The 14,868-nt window shown below is 38.4% G+C and overlaps 2 protein-coding genes and 1 long non-coding RNA gene across 24 annotated transcripts in view, besides 4 other annotated features; 1 reads left to right on the forward strand and 2 right to left on the reverse strand.

Moving 5' to 3' along the window:
• Positions 1-5,650, reverse strand: part of IQUB (IQ motif and ubiquitin domain containing) — an 82,403-nt gene extending 76,753 nt beyond the window's left edge. For 4 of the 12 annotated variants that reach the window (NR_104245.2, XM_017011772.3, NM_178827.5 and 1 more), the window contains exon 1: positions 5,547-5,650. The gene's annotated coding sequence lies outside the window, so the exon portion shown is untranslated. Of the gene's footprint in view, positions 1-3,418; positions 4,249-5,546 lie in introns of those variants that run through there. The other 8 variants (NM_001282855.2, XM_047419924.1, NM_001321293.2 and 5 more) reach the window with 6 other exon arrangements.
• Positions 5,586-7,314, forward strand: LOC124901740 (uncharacterized). The gene is made up of 2 exons (XR_007060507.1): positions 5,586-6,480; positions 6,660-7,314. It is a non-coding gene; the product is annotated as an uncharacterized LOC124901740 (long non-coding RNA).
• Positions 5,717-5,946: a silencer, noted in NCBI's record as "silent region_18584". NCBI's record gives its function as "represses an Ori minimal core promoter by ATAC-STARR-seq in GM12878 lymphoblastoid cells {active_cell/tissue: GM12878}" and the evidence as "EXISTENCE:reporter gene assay evidence [ECO:0000049][PMID:35858748]".
• Positions 5,967-6,116: a silencer, noted in NCBI's record as "silent region_18585". NCBI's record gives its function as "represses an Ori minimal core promoter by ATAC-STARR-seq in GM12878 lymphoblastoid cells {active_cell/tissue: GM12878}" and the evidence as "EXISTENCE:reporter gene assay evidence [ECO:0000049][PMID:35858748]".
• Positions 6,197-6,326: a silencer, noted in NCBI's record as "silent region_18586". NCBI's record gives its function as "represses an Ori minimal core promoter by ATAC-STARR-seq in GM12878 lymphoblastoid cells {active_cell/tissue: GM12878}" and the evidence as "EXISTENCE:reporter gene assay evidence [ECO:0000049][PMID:35858748]".
• Positions 6,397-6,536: an enhancer, noted in NCBI's record as "active region_26567". NCBI's record gives its function as "activates an Ori minimal core promoter by ATAC-STARR-seq in GM12878 lymphoblastoid cells {active_cell/tissue: GM12878}" and the evidence as "EXISTENCE:reporter gene assay evidence [ECO:0000049][PMID:35858748]".
• Positions 7,315-8,051: 737 nt separating the features above from the next.
• NDUFA5 (NADH:ubiquinone oxidoreductase subunit A5) overlaps positions 8,052-14,868 on the reverse strand; it is a 64,655-nt gene continuing 57,838 nt past the window's right edge. For all 11 annotated transcript variants that reach the window (NR_111926.1, NR_111925.2, NR_104169.3 and 8 more), the window contains one exon: positions 8,052-13,275. Coding sequence is in view for 7 of the 11 variants with exons in the window: in NM_001291304.2 (NP_001278233.1) it covers positions 13,174-13,275 (102 nt within the window). In the remaining 4 variants the exon portion in view is untranslated. The remainder of the gene's footprint in view (positions 13,276-14,868) is intronic.

Genomic DNA, 14,868 nt, shown 5'->3' on the forward strand with positions numbered 1-14,868 from the left:
ATGTAAATAACAAAGTACACATATTAAAAGTGTGAAATGTAAAATGTGATCTTCCAACCCAGTTTGGAAAGCTACAGTTGGAAAAGACTTTTCAAAATCATTTTTTCATTATTGTTATCATTCATTTTGTTGTTGTTTTTAAGAGAGTAATATGTGCTTACTAGAAAAAAAACTAACAGAATAGAAGGGGATAAAATAAGAAGTAAAAGTATTTCAGACATGCTAATTTTATTTCTCATTGTTAGGCAGTTTATCTTTCCAGGAATTGTCTATAAAGCTACAATTATATAATATATATACATTTAAATTTGTTTATGATCATATCAATGTCTTTCATAAACTATATTTCTGTTTATTTTTAAACTTTAATACTATTTTATGACTTTTTATAATACGTGCTTAACATTTATTTTTATGTAAAATACGATTCTGCCGCATTCTTTTCAACAACTTCACAGTAACTTCTTTGCAAGGCTAAGCCACATGGTAGTCAACTGTTGTTCATTGATGGACATTTAAGCTGTCTCTAGTGTTTTTTTTTTGTTTTAATAGGATAATTTATTTTTTAAGAATCAGTTTTTAAAGTTATGTTAAAGATCGAACTTTTAAATGCATGCAATTATATATAAACAATAATCTATATTAATTTTTAAATTTTCTGCTGGATGCAGTGGCTCATGCCTGTAATCCCAGCGCTTTGGGAGTCTAAAGTGGGCGGATCTTGAGGTCAGGAGTTGGGAGGCCAGCCTGGCCAACATAGTGAAACCCTGTCTCTACTTAAAAAAAAAAAAAAAAAAAAAAAAAAACAGGCTAGGTGCGGTGGCTCATGCCTGTAATCCCAGCACTTTGGGAGGCTGAGCAGACGGATCACAAGGTCAGGAGATCAAGACCATCCTGGCCAACATGATAAAACCCTGTGTCTACCAAAAATACAAAAATTAGCTGGGCGTGGTGGCATGTGCCTGTAATCCCAGCTACTCGGGAGGCTGAGGCAGGAGAATTGCTTGAACCAGGGAGTTGGAGGTTGCAGTGAGCCAAGATTGCACCACTGCACTCCAGCCTGGCGACAGAGCCAGACTCCATCTCAAAAAGAAAACAAAACAAAATACAAAAATCAGCTGGGAGTGGTGGCAGGAGCCTGCAATCGCAGCTATTGGGGAGGCTGAAACACGGATCACTTGAACCTGGAAGGCAGAGGTTGCAATGAGATGAGATCATGCCACTGCATTCCAGCCTGGGCAACAGAGCAAGACTCCATCTCAACCGGTACAGTGGCTCACGCCTGATCGAGACCATCCCGGCCAACATGGTGAAACCCCGTCTCTACTAAAATACAAAAAATTAGCCGGGCATGGTGGCAGGCACCTGTAGTCCCAGCTACTCGGGAAGCTGAGGCAGGAGAATCGCTTCAACCTGGAAGGCGGAGGTTGCAGTGAGCTGAGATAGCGCCACTGCACTCCAGCCTGGCGACAGAGGGAGACTCTGAAAAAAAACAAAAAACCAAAAACAAAACAACAACAAACAACAACAACAACACCAAAAAACCCTCCAACTCAAAAAATAAAAAAATTTAAAAAAGCACTTTTTAATTTTCAGGGAAAAAAAATCTAAGGCTGGTGTTCACAATGTCAATTTTATTTATGGTTTGTTCTCACTATAAGCTTCCCTGTAATCCATTTCTACCCATTTTTTACTCTGCACAAACTTTTTACCTTTTTGCTCTTTGATTTTTTTTTTTTTTTTTTTTTGAGATGGAGTTTCACTCTTTTTGCCCAGGCTGGAGTGAAGTGGCGCGATCTTGGCTTACTGCAAACTCCACCTCCCAGATTCAAGCAATTCTCCTGCCTCAGCCTCCCCAGTAGCTCAGATTATAGGCACCCCCCACCATGCCTGGCCAATTTTTGTATTTTTAGCAGAGACGGGGTTTCACCATGTTGGCCAGGCTGGTCTCAAACTCCTGACCTCAGGTGCTCCGCCCGCCTCGGCCACCCAAAATGCTGGGATTAGGCTGCTCTTTGAGAGCTTTACAAATTTATTTAATCCTTACAATGACTCTGAGGTAGATCTTCTTGTCTCTGTAGATAGGAAAACTGGAACTGTCAAGAAACTTGCTTAAGATCACAGAGTGCATTAGGTTCGGATCCATAATCAAATTGGAAAAAAAGAAAAACACAAAGAACAATTAAGACTCCAAAGCCCTAATGCATAGTCTTTGTATCCTATCACACTGTGGCATTATATATATAAAACAAAAAACTTTATAATAAAGAGAAATGTATTTTCCAAACTGTGGTTCTCCAGATAACAATGTGTCTCCGTGAGGACCATATAGTAAATACATCCCATAAAAAATGATTACCAACCAAAAGCTTGCAATTAATGTTCCAACTAAAGAAAAAGACTCAAAGTAAAAGCATCAGCTATCCTAGGTACTGCTTGGAGGCAACACCAAACACGACACATAAATCATTGTTGAAAAAAACCGTAAAACATAATGCTGGGTATTTAGTTATGTTGAATGCTAAAACTAATCTTTCCTTAACTAAAGGTCTCCGTCAAATGAAAAGTGTATTTTAGTCAAGTCAGGATTTCTGTTTTGCAAACTCAAAGTCTTATATTATTAAGCATATATTCAGGTTATTTATTTTCCTGATCATAATTTTCAAATCAAATTAAGATCAAACTCCACTGACCGTCAGGTACTGTATATTCTCATTTTGATAAATTTCAAATTAATGATAAAAATGTATTAACCTGCTGGTCAATTATACATTTTATAAATATATTTTAACCAATGACATATTATCAGTAAGTACAGATTCAACGGCAAGATTTCATTAAGAAAGTGTTTCAAGCTTCAGATGCCCAAGACTTATTTAATGTGTAAATCTTCACCACTACAATAACCACATGGTTAAACGATCACCACTTCCATTAGCAAGCTCAAGCCTAATAAGTGATCTCCTGGGACTTCAGCACAGAGGTTTTCTAATTTTATTCCTCCACTCAATGTGGCTATTCTCCCTTATCTATTCACGCTGGCAAAGCTTCTAGTTAAACTGGAATTAGTAACTATTTGATGATAATAATTAACATATACTGAGTGCTTCCGATGGCGCAGTTAATTCTTACAGTTGATAAAAGTGTGGCACAAAAAGGTTAATCAAGTAGCAGAGGCAGGATTTGAACCCAGGAATTCTGGTTCCAGGGCCCGGATTCGGAGTTACAAAGGTGAGTAAACTGAAAAGAGTCCTACTTTTATTGTCATTGCTTTCTAATAAAAATTATTTTTTTCTTCCAATTGTTTAAATCTCTTCTCATTCTCTATTTAAATATTAGGCGTTCATTTAAATATTAGGCGTCTACCTTACAGTAGGACATCTTTAAACAACGTAAAAAAGGAAAGCTTTGTCTTCACCTTCACACATACCGGTCTGCCCATAAATTTTGCAATCCAGTTCTGCCTGATTCTAAACTGCTTGTCTCTTGAAGCGAATGCCTTAAAAAGTGACACTGGGATCAGGATAGTTATCTCCATCCATCCTCCCTCAGAAAAACAACTATATTCGAGTAATTCTTGGGACCACTGAGAACAATACACAGACCTTTGGGTAACTTCAAGACAAAAAAGGCAAAAAGTCGGGGAGAAGGTGTGGGAGGATGATTTTCCCCTTCTAAACGTAAGGTATAAAAGGGCTCAGAAAGCGGAAAAAGAACCCTAAAAAGCAAGGTGCGGGACGGCGTGAGGGACCACACATTGGGCGCTCCGCCCAAGGGGTCCGGCTCCTTCTCCGCGGCGATGGCGCGTCCTTGGGCTCAGCAACCCTCCTGAAGACACCTAACCTCCTCCTTCTCCAGCCTGCCCCTCTGGGGCCTGCGAGCCCCGTCCCGGGCCGGGGGTCGGAAGCCGTGCCATGTAGGACCCCGAAAAGGCCCCCAAGCTTGGCGCGGAAGGCGCCGCCAGTGACCGGCTGCGGCTGGGGGCGGAGGCCGGCAGTTGCTCGGAGCTCCGGCGGGTCAGGAGGTGACGGGAGGAGGAGGAGGCAGGAGGAAGAAAGGGGGGTTGGGAGGTAGCGTCCGGTAGGTCTGCGCAGACAGCGCTGCCAGACCTCTGACTCCCCCAGTCCTGCCGCCGCCGATAGCCCCACAAGGCGACATGGGAAGTCCGCCGGAGCAGAGGGGAGAAAATTCAAAACGAGTCTACTCAACCTCGTCTTGGCTCCGAGGCCCCGCCATGCAGACCCCTCTAGTTTTTTACTATTAAAAATAGTGCTGCAACAAACATTTTATACATCTATCTCTGTATATATGTGTAAGTATACTGAAAATGAGTTCCCAGAATTAGAATGGACAAGTCAAAGGGCATACAGATCTTAATTTTGTTAAATTCCATCAAACTGTTTTCTATTATAGCCCCAAGAAGTTCCCCTTGACTGTTTCCTTACATCCTCATATTGTTTTATGAGTCCTAATAATTAAATATCCCTTTGTTGTGTGTTGCCCTTATATTTCCCATTGTATGTTTGATGTTGTTTTTCTCTTACTATATAAAAGTTTTAGATTGTTAGGTAGTGACATTTATCAATCTTTTTGCTTATGAGAGTTTCCAAATTTCCTGACATGCTTCGAAACACCTTCTCACAATGAAACATAAATACATAAATTCATCCATAAATGCATAAATGAGACAGATCTGTAAATATTGATAGAAAACAACTGGACACACAGTCTTAAGTGTAAAAGCCAATCACAGAAGAGTATGCACAATGTTACAGGTGTAACTACATATTTGCGTATGTCTAAAACACCTGTGGAAGGTGGCCTGGAGATGGGGAGAAATGGGTAGATGGAGGATTTTCACTCTTCATTCTTTTTACTATTCGAACTATTTTTTTATGTATTATCTATTCAAATGAAAATGTTTAAATCTTATTGTTTAAAAAGCAACCTCTATCATGTTTGCATACAAAAAAGTCTCCCTTTTCACCTACATTTCATTCCCTACCATTTAAAGCTTAACACATTTAGAATGTAGTATAATTAGTGAGGCAGGGATCCAGTATTGCCTTCTACCAAATAGATCTGTTGAATTTTTAGGTTTGTTAAGAGGCAAAGACCAAGGGTGGAGAGGAAGGAGTGAGAGTGCCAGGTGAGGAAAGTCTAAAATCTCTCGACTTAATATGAGAATGGTGGCCACGGAAGGCTAAGAGTCTCTAGTGCCAGGTGTGGGTTATACACACATCTTCTATGCAATTACCGTGACAAGCACCCAGGGTGTGAGGTGAGGTGTACCTCCTAGCTTGATGCTGCTGGTTCAAGTCCCAAATCAGAGAGGGGAAGCCAAAAAAGGAGCCGAGAAAGATGAGATGCTTCGCACGGTTTTTAAAGTAAAGTCGGAACATTCCTGACCGACTAGGCAGCCCCAGGCGCTCAGGTGGGAATCACTGCCCAGCACACAGAACCCAGAGTCCAGCGCGGCTGTCACCGGCTCTAGGCTGGATCTAAGCGTCGGACCAGGAGGCCGCAGTCAAAATCTGTTCTCCTACCTGTGTACGAAACCAAACTATTCTCGTCGAAGTGCTTTCCCAGGCTCCTAAGACGCAGCTTCCATACTCGCCGCGTTCTCAGCTGTTGGTCGTATCCTAGCAACGGCCCTGGCACCACCTCTTCCTGCCGGAGCACGGCAGGGGTGGGAAGGAGAGGAGCCAGAGGCGGGTGGGGGGGAGGAGCCAGAAGAGGGCAGCGGGGAGGGGCCGGGAAGGAGGAGCGCGGCAGGGTAGGGGGAGGAGCCAAAGACTGGGGGCGGGGCCGGGAAGGAGGAGGGCGGCAGAAGAGAAGGGGATGAGCCAGAGGCGGGGAGGTGGGGCCGGGAAGGAGGAGTGCGGCAGGAGAGAAGAGGAGTAGCCAGAGGCGGAGGGGCGGTGTCGGGAAGGAGGAGCGCGGCAGGAAATAAGGGAAGGAGCTAGAGGCGGGCTGGGGGCCGGGGTCTGGAAGGAGGATCGCGGTAGGGAAGAAGAGGAGCCAGAGGAGGGGGATGGGGGCTGCAAAGGAGGAACGCGATAGGGAAAAGGGGGAGGAGCCAGAGGCGAGGGGGCGGGGAGAAGAAACATGGCAGGAGAAAGGGGAGGAGCCAGAGGCGAAGAGACAGGAAGAGGGACGCGTCAGGGAGAAGGGGAGGAGTCAGAGGCGAGCGGGCGTGGAGGAGGGAAGCGGCAGGGAGAAGGGGCGGGGCCAGAGGCGAAGGGGCGGGGAGGAGGGACGCGGCAGGGAGAAGGGGAGGAGCCAGAGGCGGAGGCTGTTACCAACTGGCTACCTAGATCCAAGTGAATCAGGACACTAACTTCTCTCCAAGATCTTTTACACTTGTGAAACGGCACAGCTCTCTAAACCAAACACTGACAGCAGTTTAATTTTACAGATATAAAAAAAATCCGAGTCAGAGAAATCATCACGATGAAGTCAGAGGCGAGAAACTGTCAGGTGCCTACTTGCTTTTGTTAAACTAACAACTTGGCTCTCAGCTTCCTGGCAGCCAAAGAGAAAAGGGAGATAGTAGCTATCAAATAATTCTGCTTAGAAGAACTTTTGTTAATCACTAAATTAGTTAATAAACTAAATTTTGTCTAACAACAAATTCTTTTTTTTTTTTTTTTTTCTAGTGTATACAGAGTCTTGCTCTGTCGCCCAGGTTGAAGTGCAGTGGTTCGATCTCGGCTCAATGCAACCTCTACCTCCCTGGCTCCCGCGATTCTCCTGCCTCAGCCTCCTGAGTAGCTGAGATTACAGGCGCCCGCCACCACCCCCGGCTAATTTTGGTATTTTTAGTAGAGATGGGGTTTCACCATGTTGGCCAGGCTGATCTGGAACTCCTAGCCTCAAGCAATCCGCCTTCAAAAGTGTTGGGGATTACAGGAGTGAGCCACCGCGCCCGGCCTATCAATGAATAAGAAAACTTTTAAAGAACCACAGGATAGTATTGGAGGTCAAGTCAAGTATGTTCCTCTTGGAAATTTAGTAACAAACTACATGTTGCTATCTCATAATAGCAGCTAACATTTATGAAGTATTCATTGTCATGAGGCACCGTACATAGATTTCTAATTTAATCCTTACAACGATTTTATTAGGGAGAAACTGCTATTAGACCCATTTTGTAAATGAGAAAACTAAGGCACACAAAGTTTAATGAGGGAACCAGGATTAAACCTAAGCAATCTAACTCCAGGTCCCAGATTTTTTAACCATTACAGTACTGTTTAATTTGATTTGATATGTTAAAAGGATTAATAAAATTAATACAGGTCCATTCCCTTATTCATAAATGTTCATTGTCTTCATTTATTTCTTTATACTGTTCTGCTGAAATTGCACTCTCATCTCCCCAATAACTTTGTAATATCCAATGCCATTTTTTTCAGTCATCCCATTTTAAAATATATTTTTACTAGAATAGTGAAATATATATTCAGATAAAATTGGCTTTGTTTTAATAATGATCAGTAAAAGTAAATTCATTTTAATCATTTCCACACATTCATGAAAAGTAAAGGGGAAAAATGGGCATAGAGGTAACCACTAGAATTAGGCTTTCTTGGATGGGTAGACCAGGTGTGGAGGTGTGCAGATAAGATTTTACAAACACTCATACACTCCCATCTCCAAAATCATAATTTATCTTACATTCTGCTACTAATAAACATTCCACTGGTTTTAAACATTCACTTTGCTGGGTCTCCTCTTTAAAATTTGTCATTCACTGTTCTCAATGTTAGAGACGGTATGCAAACAGTAGGTTTAGGAATAGAGTCAGGAGATGGGGGAAGAAAAACTGGTAGGAGAGAACTTAAGTGTCTCACAGTGTTAAATGTGACTTGATAGCCACTATTCATTTTTTTTTGTAGTTTGCTGTGAGGATGACTTTATACAATTTAATCTTAAATAGGAACCTAACTTAGTTAGGCTTCCTTGGGTAGTCTGTGGAGCATGGAAAAGTTATTAGCATGTCAAAATCCTGTCCACGCACACATACACGCACATACACACAAATGTAGTTTGGTTACATAATAAATTTATATTCAAACTTAATGAAAACAACCAATAGGAAAAAGCTTCTCAATTCCAAAAGTGAAAGAGTAATTTTACAATACCATTTTCCATTTTCCTTTTCATGATAAATCTATGCATTTTCTCAGGATTTATTCCACCAAACGACTTCGTATTTCTCATGAAACATCTACCTTTATTCATCTCAGCATTTATTTATGTAATAAACATTTCTTTTGATGTGCTTTTATTTTTACAAAGATGCCACCTAGTGGCTTGATAAAATCAAGCATTTCAAAGTATCTCCTGTTGTTACTACAGGTTAAAATGAATAATGAATATTTTTAATATTAAAATAATTTAGAAAACTAAGGACCTGAAAATTTTTGTTTTGGAAATTATTTAGATTAAATTTGGATCATAATACCACTTTGTGAACTTGTTAAGAGAATGGAAATATAGGTCTATTGTCCCTTTTCTGAAACCTTTTAAGACAGATGTGTTTGATATTCACAATTTTTCAGATTTTTGAAAGGAAATATGGGCATATACTTTACATTATGTAACACATTAAGAGGGTCTGAGGAAGCAGTTTAGAATCAAATATATTGATACATCTGTGGCAAAATATATTCATATTCACATTGAAGTGCGATAAATACCACAAATAGCCTCATGTAATTCAGGTGGGGTTTGTTGCCAAATGAGTTATGAAAAAACTTTGTTTTCAGAGATTTTTGAAATTAGGAATTTAGATAAGGGACTTTGGACCTGTTTTACTCTGGTGAAAAATAATTCACCCTCCAGTTATAGAGAGATTAAAATGCCAATATTTTGTAAAAAAAAAAAAATAGTTATCTTTAGAAAACCTAATAGATTCACCTAAAAAAAAATTGAAGATCATGAGAAATACCAAAATAGAAATCTTTGCAATGCTTTTCATTTAATTATATACAGATGCCAATCATAAATTACATTTAAGTGTACCACAAAAAATTAGCTGCTAATGTAAACCTAAAGACCAATTTGAAAATTATTAGTGATGCATGGCAAGTTCAATTCATAAATTTTGTGGCACAGTCAAAAAAAAATTTAACCTTGGTTGTTTCTTTTTTTTTATTCCTATGTGTAATTTACCATGTTCCAATTCCCCACCACCACTATGGTCATGGAAATATATGTTGATGGTGCCACACTCAGCCTGGATTCCTTGTGGGTCTATGAGCACTCCTTGCCAACCCTCCTTAGACATGCAGTATGAATAAAAAATACACTTAAGACACTGGGATTTAAGGATAACCCATGCTAAGTCACTACATGACTCACTATTTTACTTCACGATCTAGAATACTGACTCATCTCTAGTCTCTCAAATGAATTCTTCCTGTCCCCATCAATCATTCAAACCCCTTATCACATTCCCACTGTGATTTCCTGTGAATTTTGTCTAAAATAAAACGTCGACCTCCTCTAAACACAACTGGTAGCCTCTCATTTACTTTTCTCTAAAACAATTGGCATTACTATTGTTGTAGCATAGGCTACAATCTCACTGAACACTTAGTTTTTGTTTTTGTTTTTAGTAGAGACGGGGTTTCACCATATTGGCCAGGCTGGCCTCGAACTTTTGACCTCAAGTGATCCACCCACCTCGGCCTCCCAAAGTAGTGGGATTATAGGTGTGAGCCACCACGCCTCCCTACTGAACACTTAGTTTTAATGGGAAGACTGCACTCAGCAAATCCAAAATACTAGTGATATGTTCAGCAATTTGGTACTTAATCCCATACCCCACAATACACTTGTGTAGGGTGTTAGACTTCTGTATGTTTACATAATCATAGAGGATGGGAGGAAAAAGAAAAAGCTGCTATTAGCCTACATGTGGGAATTTTCCTATATATTGTCATCTCCCTTTTAAAAAAGATACATTCATAAACATTGTTATTGGCTTAATTAGCTTCGCTCCTCTGAATGTGATTAGAAAATTGACAATAAAATATAAGCTCTCTTTTCTTCCATCCCCCAATTCTGAGGGAAAAGGAGGGGGAGGGGAGAATGAGGGAGAGTGAAAGGATACAATAAAACTTGAGGCCTGATTGCACATGATGACTACTACTGCTGGCATCAATTCATTCTATTCCAATGACAGACTAGTTGATCCTACTGGTGTGGGAAAGATGGCAACCTTGAGACCTGAGCCTTACTCCAGTAGGGTGCCCCCCTATATCTTGTTTGCCCAGGACAGTCATGGTGTACATCTGTTATCCTTATGTAATTATTTTCACTCAAAATCATTCCAAGTGGAATGATAAATTATCCTATAGTTATCCTAAATATAAGCCATTTTCATCCCAAAGGAAAGAATGCCAAGAAATTGGAATCGTCTGCACTAAGTCCCAGTGTGGGAGAAAGGGGGCATCAACTTTGTTGCCATTTCTTCTTTCTTAGCAAAGCTCAAATTGATTAGCTTCTCTTTCTTTTGAAGTATCTGCAGTATGATGATTAACTAGAATGAAACCCATGGGAGAACTGAAATAGGCCATTCTGAAAATTATTAAAATTAGTTTAGTAGCCACTCAAAACACTGAAGATCTCTGAATAAAAGAATCATTTGCAAAGTGATCAGGAGACTTAACCTGGATGTTTATAGGAAGCAACTGGGAAAAGACTGAAGGAGTAAAAACGATCAGGTGTAAAGTTCTGTGAGCAATTGAGACAGGAGAAAGAACCAATGACCAAATTGCAATACCTTTTAGATACCTATCCCATTAACATAATCTGCCTATAACCTATATGCAGCTCTTTGCAGAAAATGAAATCGTTTACTACTTCTGCTCATATTTGTTCTTTACAGATAATTTTGACAGAAAAGGTAAAGAGAGCAGGATCTAGTTTCATTTGGTACAGCCCATACAGCACAGGAAGAAGTCACAACATCCCAAGCATATTCATAAATAATAATATAACAGGAGCATCAGTTCTAGAACCAGACTGCCTGGGTTCAAACTTCAGCTTCACATCTTACTAGCTATGTGACCTTGGATTTGTTATTAAATCATCTCTTGGTTTCAGTGTCCCCAAGGCCCCAAGTTGCATAATTGCAGGGGAAAACTACTCACGTAGGGTTCTGGTTTCTTATCTGGAAAATGAAGATAATTTGTAGTATCACTCTTAGGGTTGTAGTGCAGGTTTAATGAGTGAAATTAGTCAGGTACTTATGATAGTGCCTGACATTCATATTAAAGTCTCAACAAACATTAGCTATTATTGTTATAATATTATTTTTACAATGACTATTATTCTGCAACTAGCATTTCTAATGCAAACACCAGTAAGGTCCCCTTTTAGCAAAAAAGTTCAGTAACACTGTTGGTGAAACATAAAAGATGCCCAAGAATCATGGCAGATACGGGACTGAAAATATGACAAAAACACAGCAAGCCATCTTTGTTTCTGTGTTGTCCAAAGGACCTGAAAAATAATGGTTGGCTAGAAAATTACCTTGAAAGTACCCATGCAAACACACTTCAGCATCATGTTTTAATAAATATATTATATATTCAAGAAATGTTTAGAACTGAAAATGTTGTTATAAATCATATTCTATTTCTTTTGCAGCATTAGAAATAGGCCATTCTGAGAAACAGGCCAAACTTGCCTCAATGTAGTCATTGAGTTAACAACACTAGAACCATGAGAATGAGAAACCCTGGGCTTCTAACTCCCCCTCTAACACTTCCCCACCAGAAGGAGCCTTCTTGCACTCTAACCTCTAAGAATCCACCTTATTTAATATTTATTTAGTATTCATGTTACAGCTCTATGAGGGGAGAAATATACTGGAAAGAAGGAAAAATACCATTTTTTTCTCATTCTGAGCAAATGTGCGCATGCGCGTGCACACACACACACACACACACACACACACACACACACACACACACGTATACACAAAACCCCACAAGAGTATAGTACTATCTATGAAGGAAAGAGATACCACGTTAAATTTAACCAAGTATTTAGGAATGACAGGGAGCTAGGAAGGCGAAAACACATGTAATTTTATTTTTGTTTAACCTTAAGCTTGCCAACTTCTTTCCCTGAACAGCATTTGTCTTGTTTTGATACCCACCTACACTTATATTAGAAACGTACTGCAAACTATTTAGTGACTCCACTTTTAATTTATGGTCGTATGACTAAGATGTTTTGAATATAAGCCTATCCGTATGCCAGATATAAATTTCAGGAACTCTTAATGTCTCTTCTTTTACAGAAACTCTACCTCTATCCTGATGTAATTAGGTTGATTAAGAAAATTAAAGGCCACGGGCCAGAAAACTAACTTCCACAAATGCAACAAAAGGAAAATTTCTCCAATAACCTGTATGCAATGGGAAATCTTTCTTTTAAGTACCAAGTCAATTTCTTTAACTGTACAATGTATTCTAATTTGAAGGTTTTCAAATATAATACAGTAACAACAAAATATAATAAAATTAAGACTATAAGAAAACAGAGTAAATGGTATAATTCAATAATGACTAAAATAAAATGACACTATGGATTTTGTAATCAACCTATAATTATCTATTTAAATTTCACTTTACATACATAAGATCACAGCTGAGGTTAACCATAATTTCAAATTTTATCACCAGCCACTTGTGCTATTTTATCACATTTGAAAATATTCACTCGTATTATTTACTTCAAACAGTAATCTATAAATTTGTTTAGACTATAATAATTAAGGACCTTTCCTTCTTCAGGATAACTTAAAAAATTAAATGATGTATTGAACATACTACTAAAGAAAGTTTACTTTTTGATTATGGTCTCTGCATTGAAAATCTGTAGGAATTTTTCTTTAATAATTTTCAAATCTTCCCATGGCCTCTCTGTTCACAGAAATATCATCTTTGAAACAACTTGTGTGAGTACTTTATAAATCAAAAATTGATTCACATGACCATATTACCATAATCACCAATTTTAACAGTCTCCTACATATTTTCTATATCACTTTTCTTGATTACAAAATGTCAGTAATAAGAACACGCTCTTAATATAACAGAATATTTAATTACATCAGTTTCCCATGAACACACCAAAGTCACTTAATAATTATATTGGCCATTTCCACTGATCGGCAGGAGGCTCTTCCACTAATGGCTCCCATAGTTTCCATTCCCTCATTTTTCTTGCCAGATTTAGTTCATGTTCAGCCTGTTAATACAAATTTTTTAAAAGATCATTGGATTTTACTCTTCAACAGATATTTATCAGAACAACTGAAATTTAACTATTAGTTACTACTTTCATTTAATATCTCATAATCTATTCCACCATCAAATGTTGAATATTAAGTAATTAAATTACCTTAATTCTCACATCTACATAATCAGGAGTAAGAAAGGATATCTTTTGTTATCTTCTATTTGATTGAAATAGGCTATAGTGTTTAAAAGTTTAGCTGGTGAGGTTTTTTATCTTAATAATATTTCACAAGTTTTTTGAGCATCAGAAGTATGTCTTTTCATCTATGTCAGTGGCTTTCAAACTTTATTTTACCATGGCCCACAGTAAGAAAATATGTTTTATTTTGAGTTCCACAATACAAACATATAACTAAAACTTTTTAAATTATTATCTTTACTGGCAGTGATATATTCTTTTTTCTATTGTGTTTTTTTAAGCTAATCACTATCCAACTAACTGATTCCATGACCCACAGTCACTTGAGACCCAGAGTTTATAAAACAGTGATCTATGGAATGTAGAACACAATACATGTATAATTAATATTTACTAACTGAGTAAATTCCTTAATCAAATTATGTTTCATTTAATTTTTCCTTTCAAACACAACTTATATTTAACACACACATTTTAGGTAGCTTTTTATTTCATATTTTTTCTACAACAAACAATATTTATGACAACTCTAGCCAACTTATAAGATGAATACTATTAAACACCTGTCAGGATGTTAGAAAAGAAATTCAAACACAGAATAAGCGCTCAGATTATATTCAAGGTAATTATTATTACACAGTTAAAAGATAATACCCCATCTATGACAGCGGTCCCAAAAGTCAATCTATGTTTACAAGCAACTATAAAAAACAATGAGTTAAAGAGCAGATGAATGGAAATCAGGGGTAGAGGTATTACTAATGCCAAAAGGAGAAAATAATTTAAATACTGATAAAATATTTCCTAAGGTTGCCCTGGGTCTCACGAACATCCAATGCTTTCTCAATCTCCCCCAGCCATTATAGGGCATGAGGAGGTCACCTAGGCCTCATTCATCCTTGAGAATCAGCCCTATCTCAGGAACCTGGACCCAGCTGCACCTGGCCCCTGATGCCTATTTCCTCCTTTCTGACACACCATCATACCATCCATCTAGAAATGGGACTGTCTAATATGTTAGCCACTACCCATACATGGCTACTGGGGACTTGAAATGCAGCTAGTCCAAATTCAGATGTGCTGCAAAGTGTAAAATACATACCAGATTTTGATGACTTCATATAAAAAAGAATGTAAAATATCTCAATATTTTTATGATTATATTTAAATAATATACTACATATACTGAGTTAAAAAAATACTAAAATTAATTTACCCTTAATACTGACCATGAAAACATGGGGAACTGCACAGCTGACTTAAAAATACTTAATATGCCTTAAAACTTAATTCCATGAAAAATTGATGTATCAACTAAATAAAGTCATGATCAAAGTGAAATCAGGTGGTACAGAAAAGAGAAATAGGTATAGGGCAACAGTATAAGGTTTGCGGCAAGTTCCC

Source organism: Homo sapiens, chromosome 7, assembly GCF_000001405.40.
Source record: "Homo sapiens chromosome 7, GRCh38.p14 Primary Assembly".
NCBI classification, from domain to species: domain Eukaryota; kingdom Metazoa; phylum Chordata; class Mammalia; order Primates; family Hominidae; genus Homo; species Homo sapiens.